General features: G+C 42.3%; 1 annotated feature.

Annotated features, from left to right (window-relative positions):
* Positions 263-793: an enhancer, noted in NCBI's record as "OCT4-NANOG hESC enhancer chr1:145185134-145185664 (GRCh37/hg19 assembly coordinates)". NCBI's record gives its function as "activates a minimal SCP1, AML or CMV promoter by ChIP-STARR-seq in primed H9 embryonic stem cells {active_cell/tissue: H9 hESC(primed)}" and the evidence as "EXISTENCE:reporter gene assay evidence [ECO:0000049][PMID:30033119]".

Below are 14,692 nucleotides of genomic sequence, written 5' to 3'. Positions count from 1 at the left end.
TCTGCCTCCCGGGTTCAAGAGATTCTCCCGCCTCAGCTTCTTCAGTAGCTGGGACTACAGGCATACTGCCACCATAGCCGGCTAATTTTTTTGTATTTTTAGTAGAGACGGGATTTCACCATGTTGGCCAGGCTGAAGATCCTCTCTCTTATTGCTTGATGAAAAAATGTATTAGGCACTGGGAGGATAGAAATTAAAGAGCCCCAATACTTGACATCTAGGAGCTCACAACCCAATAAGAAAAGTACACATGTAGACCACCCTCCAATATTTTACTGTACTCTGTACACTGTTGCTAGAATGATCTTTCTGAAAATACAAATTGTAATGTATCTAACCCTGTGTAAAACCGTGCAGTGGCTCCTTGTTGCCTGTAAGGTAAAGCTTTCCCCTTGTTCTCCAGCCTTCTGTCTAACTGGGTCTATGCTGATGCTCAGGATCCAGCCATAGAGAACCAATTGCTTTTCCCTAAATATAGCAGGCTTTTCCCTAAATATAGCAGGCCCTTTCATCCTGCCAGGCCTTTGTTATGCTGTTCTCTGCCTGGAATGACCTCCTCTCATTACCCTCCAGGAGGGTTATCTCTCTTGTAATAGATTTCCTTAGGTTTCTCTCCTTCCACCTCCAACCCCACAGACAGAATTAACCATTCCTTCCTTTGTTTATTTGTCCTGCCCATATTTCTCCTACAGCACCTATAGTGCTTTGTAACATTGATTTTTTTTTTTTTTTGAGACAGAGTCTTGCTCTGTTGCCCAGGCTGGAGTGCAGTGGCGTGATCTTGGCTCACTGCAAGCTCCGCCTCCTGGGTTCACGCCATTCTCCTGCCTCAGCCTCCCGAGTAGCTGGGACTACAGGCGCCCGCCACCATGCCCGGCTAATTTTTTGTATTTTTTTTTTTTTTTTTTTTTGAGACGGAGTCTCGCTGTCGCCCAGGCTGGAGTGCAGTGGCGCAATCTCGGCTCACTGCAGGCTCCACCCCCTGGGGTTCACGCCATTCTCCTGCCTCAGCCTCCGGAGTAGCTGGGACTACAGGCGCCCGCCACCTCGCCCGGCTAATTTTTTGTATTTTTAGTAGAGACAGGGTTTCACCGTGTTAGCCAGGATGGTCTCGATCTCCTGACCTCGTGATCCGCCCGCCTCGGCCTCCCAAAGTGCTGGGATTACAGGCGTGAGCCACCGCGCCCGGCCAATTTTTTGTAATTTTAGTGGAGACGGGGTTTCACCGTGTTAGCCAGGATGGTCTCGATCTCCTGACCTCGTGATCCGCCTGCCTCAGCCTCCCAAAGTGCTGGGATTACAGGCATGAGCCACCGCGCCCGGCCGATTGTTTTAAAATACATAAATGTACTTGCCATTTACACTTATGTCTTTCTCTACTAATTGAAGATAAGCTCCTTAAGAGCCATCTTTGTAAGGGCCATCTTTATCTTTGTACCCCTAGAATCTAGCTCAGTGCCTGGCTCAGAACAACTCCATTGAATGAACCATCCATACAGGCCCTTACATCATGCTATGGGAATGCAACAGAAGGAGCAGTGAACTGTGCTTAGAGGAGTTGCCTTGGAAGCTGAAGCATGTATACCAAATAGAGGAACATCAGGGCAGGGCAAGGGTTGGTTCATAGCTGGTCGCCAGAATAGAATGCTCAAAGGTACAGGGGCCTGAGAAGTGGTGGAAAGGTTGGCAGGTTTGGGAAATTTGAGGATACCTGAGAGGATGGACTGTGGGATGTGGTGGTTTGCTGTTATTATTCTTATTGTTAAACCAGAAGAAGAGGCTATGAGTTAGTCAGGGGCTGTGTGTTAAAAGGCCTGGCAATTCATGCTGAGAAAGGAGTTTTGATTATATTACAAAGAGCTAAAGAAAGAAGAGTTTTGAAGGTCAGTATTCAAGAGTAGGGATGATTGGATATGCCTGTCAGAGACAAAGGACAATGCAGTGACCAGGAGAGGTTGCTCCAGGGAGGAGTGGGACTGCATCTTAGAGTCTGGGTGGGGCATTGGTGATCTGAGGGTTCAGAGAACTGAGAATGGTCCAGGTGAAAACTGATGAGGGCCTGAGGCAAGGCAGTGGAGATGGAGAAAATGAGAATGATTGGAGAAATAAACACAGCAGTGGTGGAATGGTGACTGGCAATCAGCTGAAGATGGGGAATAAAGGGAAATGAGGAGTCAAAAATGATCCCAAGTGTTTATCTTGAATGTTTAAGCAGATGGCGTTGTCCTGATATGGAATGCAGAAAAATAACATCGAGTTGAGTTTGTGATGCTTTCGAGATACTTAAATGAAAATGTTGAGAAAGCAGTTGAAATTACATGTCTCATATTCAGGAAAGAGTTGAGGGCATGAGTCTCTCTAGGTAATAACTGATTCCATAGGACAGGATGAGAGCATCTGAGAGCATGTGAGGGCGAGAGAAGGTCTAGAATGAGGCCCTCGGTTAAGGAGGAGAGAGAGGAGAATGAGACAACAAAGAAATCCAATGTGGAGTCATGAGAGCCATAGAAAAAGAGTTTATTCACAGGGAAGAAAGAGTTTGTAGTGTTAAAAATCAAAGAAAGGATATAGATTGAAAAAAAGGTCCTGAAAGAACTGTAATATAAGGCTACAAACATACTCATTGGGGGCTGGAGGAAGTCCAACATAAGCCAGCCCCAGCGTTGAGCCAGTGAATCGGAGACAAAAGGCTCCCTCTCTTTTTTAGTCCCAGCCAGTTCATAAGCCTGAGGTTGAATTGCAACTATGATTTATGCTAAATAGCTTTATCTAATTAGGGCTGGTAAAATTGAAGTGGTTGGAATACCTCTGGCAAGAACTTGATAAAAATTTGAGAGTCTTTCACGTTAATTTTAATCTTCGTTTGCATGAAATGGGATGGTTAAGGAGAAGTAAAAGAAAAACATGAAAAGGAAGGCACAATAAGAAGCATTCATTCTTTAAAGGAAAATGGTGTACCAAAGAGTCGTCCCAGAGCTCTTCCTTCTCCTGCCTCCACATAGTCTAAGGTCTGTTTACAGGAAAAACCTAAGCTAGCATGGCCAATATAGGTTTTAATGGGTGAGCCAAAAAAAAAAAAAAATGCTTTCATGGCAAAAATACCAAAAGCAATTTCAATAAAAGCAAAAATTGACAAATGGGATCTAATTAAACTAATGAGCTTCTGCACAGCAAATGAAACTATCATCAGAGTGAACAGACAATTTACAGAATGGAAGAATATTTTTGCAATCTATTCATCTGACAAAGGTCTAATATCCAGAGTTTACAAGGAACTTAAACAAATTTACAAGAAAAAAAAAACCCCATTAAAAGATGGGCAAAGGACATGAACAGACACTTCTCAAAAGAAGTCATACATGTGGCCAAAAACATATGATAAAAAGCTCAAAATCACTGATCATTAGAGAAATGCAAATCAAAACCACAATGAGATACCATCTCATGCCAGTCAGAATGGCTATTACTAAAAAGTCAAAAAACAACAGATGCTGGCGAGGTTGTGGAGAAAAAGGAATGCTTTTATGCTGTTGGTTGGAGTGTAAATTAGTTCAACCATTGTGGAAGACAGTGTGGCAATTCCTCAAAGAGCTAGAGGCTGAAATAACATTTGACCTAGTAATCCAACTATTGAGTATATACCCAAAGGAATATAAATCATTATATTATAAAGATACATGCATGTTTATGTTCATTGCAGCACATTCACGATAGCAAAGACATGGAATCAACCTAAATTTCCATCAATGACAGACTGGATAAAGAAAATGTACATACATACCATGGAATACTACGCAGCCGTAAAAAGGAATAAGATCATATCTTTTGCAGGGACATGGATGGAGCTGGAGGCCATTATCCTCAGCAAACTAACGCAGGGACAGAGAACCAAACACTGCATGTTCTCACTTATAAGTGGGAGATGAATGATGAGAACACATGGACACATAGGGGGAACAACACATGATGGGGTCAGTCAGAGCGGGGTGTGAGGGGAGGGAGAGTGTCGGGAAGAATAGCTAATGGATACTGGGCTTAATAAGCAGGTGATGGGATGAATTGTACAGCAAATCACCATGGCACACATTTACCTATGTAAGAAACCCCCACATCCTGCACATATACCCCTGAACTTAAAAGTTGAAGGAAAAAAAAAAAGTAAAAAAATGCCATCATGATACAATTAGGCACTTATAAAAAATGTGTTCCAAATCCCTCAAAAGTGTTTTAGTAAGGGGCTTACTAAGTATGGAGATTTCAAATGTGGTATGTGGATGGTGCTAAAATTGAGAGTAAGCATTTAGAAATTTTTAGAGCAAATCGAGAATGCTGTAACATACAAGCACATTGTCAGTGGACTCATGTCAATGAGCAGGGTATGGACTGGTCTGGGTGTTGTGGAATTCTCATAGTGAGTCACAGGTGGCATGACCTGTGCCCTAGTCATACGCAGGAAGACACTTAGACCACAAGCTTGGAAATTAAAAAAAAATTAACCACACAGATAGTTTGAAAATCACTGCTTTAGATCACAACCTATTTGTAAGTTAAGAGGCCCTACAGCTCGTTTGGTGCAAGGAAGTTGACAGAGAGCTTGAGCATACACCAAAAAATTTAGATATAAAGTGACGGGAAATTTGAAGCCATTGTAGAAGATACGAATTGGAGATGGAACTACCCAAAATTACCTTCTATAAGGATCTTCTAGATTAAATGCAAGCTAACTTATTCTTAAAATTGTTTTGTTCATTATGATATGAACAGAGTCTATATCAGAACCTGGAACATGGCAGGCACTAAATAAATATTTTATGAATATTGAATTAGTTGTTCTAACAACATCGTGGAGAATAGCTTGAGAAGGGTAAAGGCTAGAATCAGAAAAAGTGGCTAGGAAGACTTTAAAGACTGTCTAGACATAGGTTGATGGGTGGATTAGCCTAGTGGATACAGAGATTCAGAAAATATGAATCTAAGAAATATTGGGAGGAACTTCCAGTTTTTCCCATGTCAGTAAGCACATGGACATTCATCAAAGTCCAAATCAGAAATGTGGGGTCATCCTTGACTCTTCTCTTTCTCCTTGCTCCTCATATTTGGTCACTCTCTGAATCCTAAATATCGCTACCCTGCCTTCTCCTGCTATTCACACTGCTTTAGTTCAAGCCCCACCACGTCCCTCCAGGACTTTGTTATAGCTTCCTTAAATGGTCTCCCTGCCCTGGGTTCTTCCCCATTAAGCTTTTCTTCCAAAATTGAAAATTCAGTGTTTTTCCTTTTTTGTGTGAAACCATGAAATGGCTCCTGATTTACCTTCTAAGCTTCAGCATACCTAAGCTCCATGGTAGGGCTGCTCCTTACCAGGCCTTGTGTCATCTGGCACTTGCTTTGCATGCCAGTGCATTCTTCTGCTCCTTACTTGGTGGTTCTTAAACCAGACCAACACTAAACAACTGGTAACCCCTGCCCCAAGGGTTTGCCATGTTATTTCATGCCTCTGTGCCTTTGCTTATGCTATTCCTTCTGCCTGAAATGCTCTCACTCCCAGCACCCTGGCTGCTTTTCCATCTGTATTCATTTCCTGTTGCTGCTGTAACAAATTATCACAAACTTACTCTTTTTGAGGTCAGAAGTCTGAAATGAGGCTATTTCATGAGGCTAAAATTAAAGCATTGGCAGACCTTCATACCTCCTGGAGCTGGAGGAGAGACACTGTTCTTTGCCTCTTCCAGCTTCTAACCACAGTTTTTGTTTTTGTTTGTTTGTTTTTGGTTTTGGCTGATGGTCCCTCATTGTCACATCTCTTTCTCTGACACTCCTGCCTCCTTTTTCTATAAGGACCCCTGTGATTACATCAGGTTCGTCTGAATAATCTAATCTTCCCATCTTCCTTAAACGTAGTCATATCTGCAAAGTCCTCATTGACATGTACGGTAACATTTACAAGTTTGGGATGTGGATATCTCTGAGAAGCCATTATTCTGCTTACTGCACCACCCAACCCCAATTAGTCTCTTAAAGCTCTGCTATCACTTTTTCTCTGAAACATGTTCTGCTCAGAGCTAATCACTCTCTATTTTGTGTCATATACATACTACCTTCACTGCATGGGTTGGCTTGTATTGCACATAATAACTTTTAAAACACATCTACCTCTCTATTATATTTTGATTTCTTGAGGGGACAGCTTATTTATCTTTGTATTACCAGCGGTAAGCATGTTACATGGTATATAGCAAGTAGTAGGAGCTAAATTATACTATTTAAAAATGAATGTCCCAGGCAGTGCAATGATCCATTTGAATGTTAACTAGACATGTAGGTTTAAATGGTGACTACAGTTGTGGTGCATTCCTAACTTTGCAGGGTCGTTGCCTACCACTCTCCCTGCCCACGCTTGTCTGCTTCCCCTCCAGTCACATGGCCTTTCTAACCTTCCTTGGTCATGCTGTTCCTATCCCATCCTCATCTCTCTGTCTGTAATGCCCTTCCTCCAACTTTTCTTTTCATAAATCCCTAATTCATTCTCAAAGCACAAATCAAAACTTTTTCCTTCTGCAATGCCTTTTATTTGTCTCAAGACAGAATTCATCACTTCCTCTTTTGAGTTGCTAAGACATTTTGTACAGATCTGTATTACATATTTCACATTGTGTTTTGCTTGGTTTTATATATGTATCTGTTCCATCACAAGAATGCACAAAAGCCATATCTTGTTTATATCAGTACTAGGCATATAGCAAGCACTCAATAATGTTTATGACCTTAAAGCGAACATATAAACAGATGAGAATGGAGGGGCAACAGAAAGGAACCAAAAGATTAAAAGAGTGCCTTTGATAAAAGATAAAGAGGAAGGAAGAGACTGAGAAGACCCTCAAAGACAGCATTCAGAAGACCCTAGAGGCAGAGTGTGATGAAGGCTGGAGTTAGAGTGGCTGACCTCTAATTAAAGAGGAGAATGTGAGAGGCAGCACCACATGCAGTGAGCTGCAGGCCTGAGAAAGAGAAAGGCTGTTGGATGTGACCACGAAGAGATCCTAATGGTTTTAGGAAGCATAATGAGAATGCCCAGTCAGGACCCTGGGTCTGCTCCTGTTTTTAGGTTAGGAGAGATTAGGTTAGGTTAGGATCTCCAGAGGATAAATGACTTGAGGAAAAGGAATATCACACCTCATATCCAATCAACTTGCTTGAATGCTTGAGGCCATGAACACCTCAGCACAGCTCCAAGTCAGTTTGGAAGGCTTGGTTCTTTCATCTGATACCACGACTTCAAAGTACTAGGAGATGTAGATGGTTCTCAGGGAATACAGAAGCCAACATAATGTATTCCCCTATAATAATCAGAGATTTTCATCAATAGGGCACAGTTGGCTGGGTGGTCCAGGCTCCTGAGGAACAAAGGCAAAATGTCTAAATCTGGCTTCAGAACTGAGAATAATTTCTCTTTCACGGAACTTTTCTGGATGATGATATTTCTCTATATAAAGCATTCTCTGACCCAGTGGACAAATATTTCTCACATCTCTGCCTGCCTTGAACCTTGCCCTCCTATCTTCCATCAACACTGCTGTCAGCTGTATTCTCCAACCTGTGTCTTGTTTGGCTAACCTGTATGGCCAACTGTCTGTCTTTACCTTTACAAAGCCTGATCTAGACAAACTTCTATGCTGGACATCTGCACTGATTTTCGCCCAAATCAATTGTCTAGCATCTATTTCTGTGATCTGCTTCTGCTGTGTCCTGAATCAGTCTGCTGTGGTCTGATAGGTTGCACATTCTCAATGGGAGTGAGAATTGATCTTGGGGGATAAAAAACAACTTAATTTTTTAAATGTACAAAGTGCAGATATACATACAATGCATAAACCGATATCACAATATATCTGCGTGTATTAGGGCTCTCCAGAGAAACAGAACTGATAGCATATATTATATATAGATACACAGAAATAGATTTATTACGAGAGATTGGCTCATGCAATTATGGAACCTGTGAAGTCCCATGATCAGCTGTCTGCAAATTGGAAGCCCAGGAAAGTTACTGGTGTATTATAACTCCAGTCCAAGCCAGAAGGCCTGAGAACCAGGAGAGCCAATCCTGTAAGTCCCAGTCCAAGTCCAAAGGCCCCAAAACCAGAAACACTACTGATATCCAAGGGCAGGAGGAGATGGATGTCCCAGCTCCAGAAGAGAGAGTGAACTTGTGCTTCCTCCACCTCTCTGTTTTATTCAGGCCTTCAAGGGATTGCTTGATGCCCACTCACACTGCCAAGGGTGATCTTTTATTCACTCTACCAATTCAAATGCTAACCTTTTCCAAGAACACCCTCCCAGACACACCCACAAATAATGTTTTACCAGTGATCTCAGCAATCCGTAGCCCACTAAAGTTGACACACAAAATTAACCATCACACTATGGTACCAAAATTTGATAGAGGAGAGCAATTTTTAAAAACATCGGAAAAGCCTCCTTAGGAAGGCAATAATGAAAAGAAAAGGGTTGAGAAATATTGTGATAGGTGATGAGGCTGCAATTCCTGTAACAGAAGGAACATAAGGAGACTGGATTGTGAGGAAATGGAGGTAGTCACAGTTATTTGACTGAGAAGTAGACTACAGAGAGAATTCCGATGAAGCAAACAAATTATGAGCACTTATTATGTGCCATGAACTGTGTGAAACCCTTTCACATTTGTTAGCAAAGAGCTTCTCCTTTAGTAGTAATGTACATATTCCTTGCAGAAAAAACAGTGACATTTTCCATTGAGACAGTAGCGCACCTATCTCTCCTCTGCTTCAGCAGCCTTTATGCTAATTACTGTTTTGGAAGTAACTCCTCATTCACTTTTTGCAACATAAGATAATGAGAAATACAGCCCAGATTTTGTTTGTAGAAGCTCCTTTCATGGCAGCCTTTCAACAGTTTGGGTAATTTAAAAGATGCAGTTGTAATCGTGACTAACTCATTAAGATGCTTGATGAGCATCTTAATGAGTTAAAAAACCTGGACATTTTTAACGCACTTTTGGAAAGAGGCAAGAAAAATATAAGAGTGGGAATAATCCAAGGAAAACATTTCAAGTCTTTGAACAATAGACCCTAGAATTTCCTTAGCTTGAGATAGGTTAGGACAAGAAAACAGAATGTTGCTTAAAAGAAGCCCAGTGATCATTTGTGTCTACTTGCACTTCTGGAATATGACTTTTGTTTGTTAGTTGGTTCATTTTGACTTAAAAAGTGTTTTTCGGCCAGGTGCAGTGGCTCACACCTGTAATACCAGCACTTTGGGAGGCCGAGGTGGGCAGATCACAAGGTCAGGAGATCGAGACCATCCTGGCTAACATGGTGAAACCCCGCCTCTATTAAAAATACAAAAAATTAGCCAGGTGTGTTGACGGGCGCCTGTAGTCCCAGCTACTCGGGAGGCTGAGGCAGGAGAATGGCATGAACCTGGGAGGCGGAGCTTGCAGTGAGCCGAGATCGCTCCACTGCACTCCAACCTGGGCGACAGGGGGAGACTCTGTCTCAAAAAACAACAACAACAACAACAACAAAACCCACAACATTTTTCTTTGTTCTCTCTCAGTACTCATTAAGAATTTACTACTGCGTCTTTAGATTTTATCTCAGGCAGATCAATGCTATGTATTTGTCCCCTGTACTTGATCCCTGTGCTTTCCTTCTCTCCTACTTTCCTACTCTTGTCATGAGTGCTGAGGCAGGGATGATGTTGGGGTGGAAAGCTGAAGGGTGAAGATGAATGAGCCACAGTGTCCACTTAGAATCTACAGCCAACTCTTGGCAGCTTATCCGTGGTAATTCTTGTTTCAGCTTCTTGTTGACTTTATCACCCACTCAATGTGCTTAATTCTATGATGGATGTTATCACCAGCTCTGTTTATTCACAATGCCAAGAACACCAGTGGAACAGGGAAATATTCAGGAAAACCCACTTTATGGTGTCAACTTGACCAGAAAACGAAACACAACTCCATCATTGCTTTATTGAATTTGGCATCGTTCTAGAAATAAACTATCATTTATATTTTGTCAAACAAAAAGAAGAGGAGAAGAGATTTCAAAAGCACTGCTTCTGGGGAGGGTCTGGATCAAAGGTAAATGTGTGACTTTAGGTGACAGAAAAGCATCTCCACTCAGATGCATCCAACTTTGAGGGGGCACTGACTACAGGACAGTAGAGACAAGGGACACTCATGAACAAGCAGCTTTTCCAATTCTGGGTCCTTTTCAAACTGTAGTATCAACATATATTTTTAAGTTTCATAAATTCTTGGAACATTAAACATATCCATTCAAACAGTTCTTTCAATATGGTGGATATTTGTAGGCTGCCCTGGAAATCAGAACACCTTGAATTTAATTCCTGCTATGACACTGGCTGACTCTGTAACTTTCACCTTTTTTAGTTCTCCAAGATGATATAAATAATGGAAAACATATAGGACTCTAAAATGGTTGCAACATAGGTTCAAATCTGACCCCTACCACTTGTTAGCTTGTCAACATTGGATAAGTTATTTGACTTCTTTGAGCATCAGTATCTTTATTTGTTAAATGGAGATAAAGATATCTTTCTTGCAGGAATGTTGTATGGATCTAATGAGATCATGTATGCAAAACACCCAACACATAGTTGTCACTTTATAAATGGCTGTTCTAGTAGCCATTTGCACAGAGATGGGGAAAGGCTAGGTGACAAAAGGCATGGGCATTCTGAGCTCATCAGTTGATAGGGCTTCCTTAATGCCATAGCTTTATTAGAGAAGGAGGAGGATACAGCCCAGCCACATAGGAACTCAGGCCTCTTTTATTTCTGCAGGATCTGGTCACCACAACAATCAGAATGTGCAGGGGTAAGACTAAGGAAGAGAGAGAGAGGAAGAATGGATGGTGGGGGGGGGGCGGCTCTCTTCTTCCTAGCGGCAGAGAATCCCGCAGTATTCCTTCAGTTGCAGAAACTAAATGGAAGGCAAATGGCTGTCTGCTTGTGGTGCATGCACCAAGACAAACTACTAAAGTGTTTCCTGCCCAGTCCCCACAGGTGTTGCTTCTCAGCTTTGGATAAGTCCTCCAGCAAGTACTTTGTTGAAAGCGAGAAAGGCAGCTGCATAACTCTCCAGTCCACAGAGCTGACAAATCACTGTGTCATCAAAGAAGAGGGAATCATGGGAAATAGCCTGTGGTTCACCCTCTAAGGCAGGGAGTCAGGAGGCTGTGAGGTGGCACATTTGATTCTTGCTCATTAACATAGTTTCTCTTTGTGTCCTCCTCCTCCTCTTTGCCTGCTTGCCTGTTCCACTGGGTAAGCAGCAAGTGCCTACTCAAATCATTATTTATCAAATGTGTACTATGTTCCCAACATTCATTCAATACACCTATATTGAAAGCCTTTTATGAGAATAACAAAAATAACAAGATAGATTCAGAGTAAGATTCAGAGACTGAAGCAAGTCCGCATATAGTAATCACATGTTCAACTAGTTGTTAAGTGGTATATATAATACATAGAAACCAACCGTGGAGGACCTCAGGGAAAGGAGCCAGGAAGCTGAGGAAGGCTTTGGAGAGAAGATGACATTGGAGCTAGGCCTTCACCCAAAATTCCATAGGTGTTGGTCCATTTTGCATTGCTATAAAGGAATACCTGAGACTGGGTAATTTAAGGGGAAAAGGGGTTTATTTTGGCCAGGACTGGTGGCTCACATCTATTATCCCAGAACTTTGGGAGGCTGAAGCGGGTGGATCACTTGAGGTCAGGAGTTTGAGACCAGCCTCCCCAACATGGCAAGAGCCTGTCTCTACTAAACATAGAAAAATTAGCTGGGTGTGGTGGCACAAGCCTGTAATCCCACTTACCCAGGAGGCTGAGGGATGAGAATTGTTTGAACCTGGGAGGCAGAGGTTGCAGTGAGCGGAGCTTGCACCAGGGCACTCCAGACTGGGAAACAGAGCAAGAATTTGTCACGAAAAAAAAGAAAAAAAGAAAAAAAGAGGTATGTTTGGCTCACAGTTCTGCAGGCTGTAGGTGAAGCAGAGTGCTGGCATCTGCTTCTGGTGAGGGCCTTGGGAAGCTTACATTCATGCTGGAAGGCAAAGGGGAGCCAGTGTGTCATATGGCAAGAGAGGGAGCAAGAGGGGGGGGGTGTCAGGCTCCTTGTAAACAACCAGGTCTACTGTGAACTAAAAGAGTGAGAACTTGCTTATCACCAAGGGGATGGCGCTAAGCCATCCATGAGGGATCTGCCCTCAAGATCCAACACCTCCCATTGGGCCCCACCTCCAACATTGGGGATCACATTTCAACATGAGATTTGGAGGGGACACACATCCAAACCATATATCACTATGGGTCAACTATATCACTATGGATCCAGGGGAGGATGGGATAGGGGAGGGGAGGCAGCAAGGGCATTATAGGCAAAGGGAAGTGCACATATGAAGGTGAAGAGGACATGAGCCCACAGCATGTCTGGGGACTGGCTGGTAGCTTGATGTGCCTGGAACAAAGGCTATGCAATCCTGGGCAGCAGCAGGGGGAGAGGTAAATGTGGTCGGAATGCCAACGATTTTCCATGCCAGTCTGTCCAGTTTGGGCTTTAACTGTAGAGAATGGGGAGCCATTGGTGAGTTTTAAGTATGAAGTGATGGGTTTATACTTGTATTTTGGACAATCCTGTGGGCTTCAGAGTACTGAATGGACTAAAAGAGAGGCTAAAAGCTGGGAGACAGTTAAGAGCTCACTGAAATTGCCAATGATGTCAAATGCTGCAAACTCATCAAGGAAAATGAAGACTGAGAATGAGTTCATTGCATTTGACAGTTGGAGATCTTTGGTGACATCTAAAAGTAATTTCACTATAACGACTGAAGCAGAAGCTGGATTACTAAGCCAGTAGTTCTCAAAGTGTGGTCCCTAGATCAGCAGCACTGGCATCACTTGAGAATGTTATAAATGTAATTTATCTGGCTCAACCCACACCCCTTTCAAAACTTTGGGAATGAAGCCTAGCAATTGGCATTTTTACAAGTCTTCTGGATGATTCTGATAAATGCTAAAGTTTGAGAACAACTAGCCTAAATGACTCTTCATCTCTTCCCCAGACGTTCCTTACTCTGATGACACCTGAATTATTTGATATTTCCTAAGTAATCATTAATATGGTTTCTCAGTTATCTGCATAAATTGTTCCTGTCAGTCATGTGCAATATATGTACAGTCTCTGCCTGATAATATTGAACTCATTGTTCAAGGCCTAACTCAAATGTCACCTCCCTAGGAAGTCTCTCCAATTTCCTCCAGGCAGCCCCCCATGGATACTTGTGCACATATTTATGTCATAAAATGTATATTATTTGTTGTGTTGATTTGGTTTACTATCTTCCCTACTAACTAGAAGCTCTTCGGGAGTAGGGACTGCTTTATCGATCTCTATTTCCATATTGTTTTTACATCTTAAGTGCTCAATAAATGTAAGAAGAGGAAGCTGTAATAAATTGCAGAAATAAAAACAGAAAGGGACAAACCACTGTTTTAAGAGGTTTGGAAGTGAAAGATGAATTTGAAATAGAAATACAATAGAAAATGTGTGTGTGTGTGTGTGTGTGTGTGTGTGTGTGTGTGTGTGTGTGTGTGTCTGGAAGAAAACTGTTGGCTGAGGGATTAAGCCAGTAGAGAGGGAAAGATGAATGATGAGACAGTGGGAATCAGTGGGTATTGAATGCAAAATGGTCCTGGAGAAGGCAGAAGGGAATTAAATCAATGGCCAATGCTGAAGAATTAGCATTGAAAGAAGGAAAGACTCTTTTTTTCTGAGATACAACACAAGGAAGTAAAGGTGGGTACATAAGTGATGAGTTGTGAGGTTGAGATGGGAGATGGTAGGGAGTCCTTAGATGGCCTGTCAGTGTAGAAATGGTGAGGGCTAGGGAAGGTTTTGCAGGGGAGGTGATATTTGAACTAGGAGATGTCTTTAGTGAAGTAGGAAGTGAAGCCTTTTGCTGGGAAGAAAATGGGGAACAGAAAGAAGGAAAGAGGCTACAGCAGAGAGGTGAAGACTTGTAAATGCTAGGGAGGGGATTGGAGAACAACAGCAGGGGATTCTTTTGGGCTGATCCATCTCCCTGATTCAAGACAAAGAAAGAGTCCACTTATTCATCCAATTGTGATTGGCAATAAAAGAAGTATGGAGGGATTGTCCCCAAAGGCTGTCTTTGAAATAAGATGGACAACTTCTGGATACAGATCCCAATACTAATATAGAAAGTATTCTAGCTCTATATATTAATTAAGGCTGGAATATTTTGCAGACAATAACAATGCTATGTATGGCAACTATGTACAACAAAGGAAAATATTTATGGTATATGAATTGCCTAAGAAATCTGGATAAAAACTATATGTATGTCGGCCAGGTATGGTGGCTCACGCCTGTAATCCCAGCACTTTGGGAGGCCAAGGCAGGTGGATCACCTAAGGTCAGGAGTTCGAGACCAGCCTGGTCAACATGGTGAAACCCTGTCTCTAGTAAAAATACAAAAATTAGCCAGGCATAGTCACGTGCGCCTGTAATCCCAGCTACTAGGGAGGCTGAGGCAGGAGAGTCACTTGAACCTGGGAGGTGGGGGTTGCAGTGAGCCGAGATCGCACCACTGCACTCCAGCCT

The sequence above is a fragment of the Homo sapiens genome, chromosome 1, assembly GCF_000001405.40.
Source record: "Homo sapiens chromosome 1, GRCh38.p14 Primary Assembly".
Lineage (NCBI taxonomy): Eukaryota > Metazoa > Chordata > Mammalia > Primates > Hominidae > Homo > Homo sapiens.
Note: the sequence above shows the minus strand (reverse complement) of the source record. Positions and strands in the feature narration are given on the sequence as shown.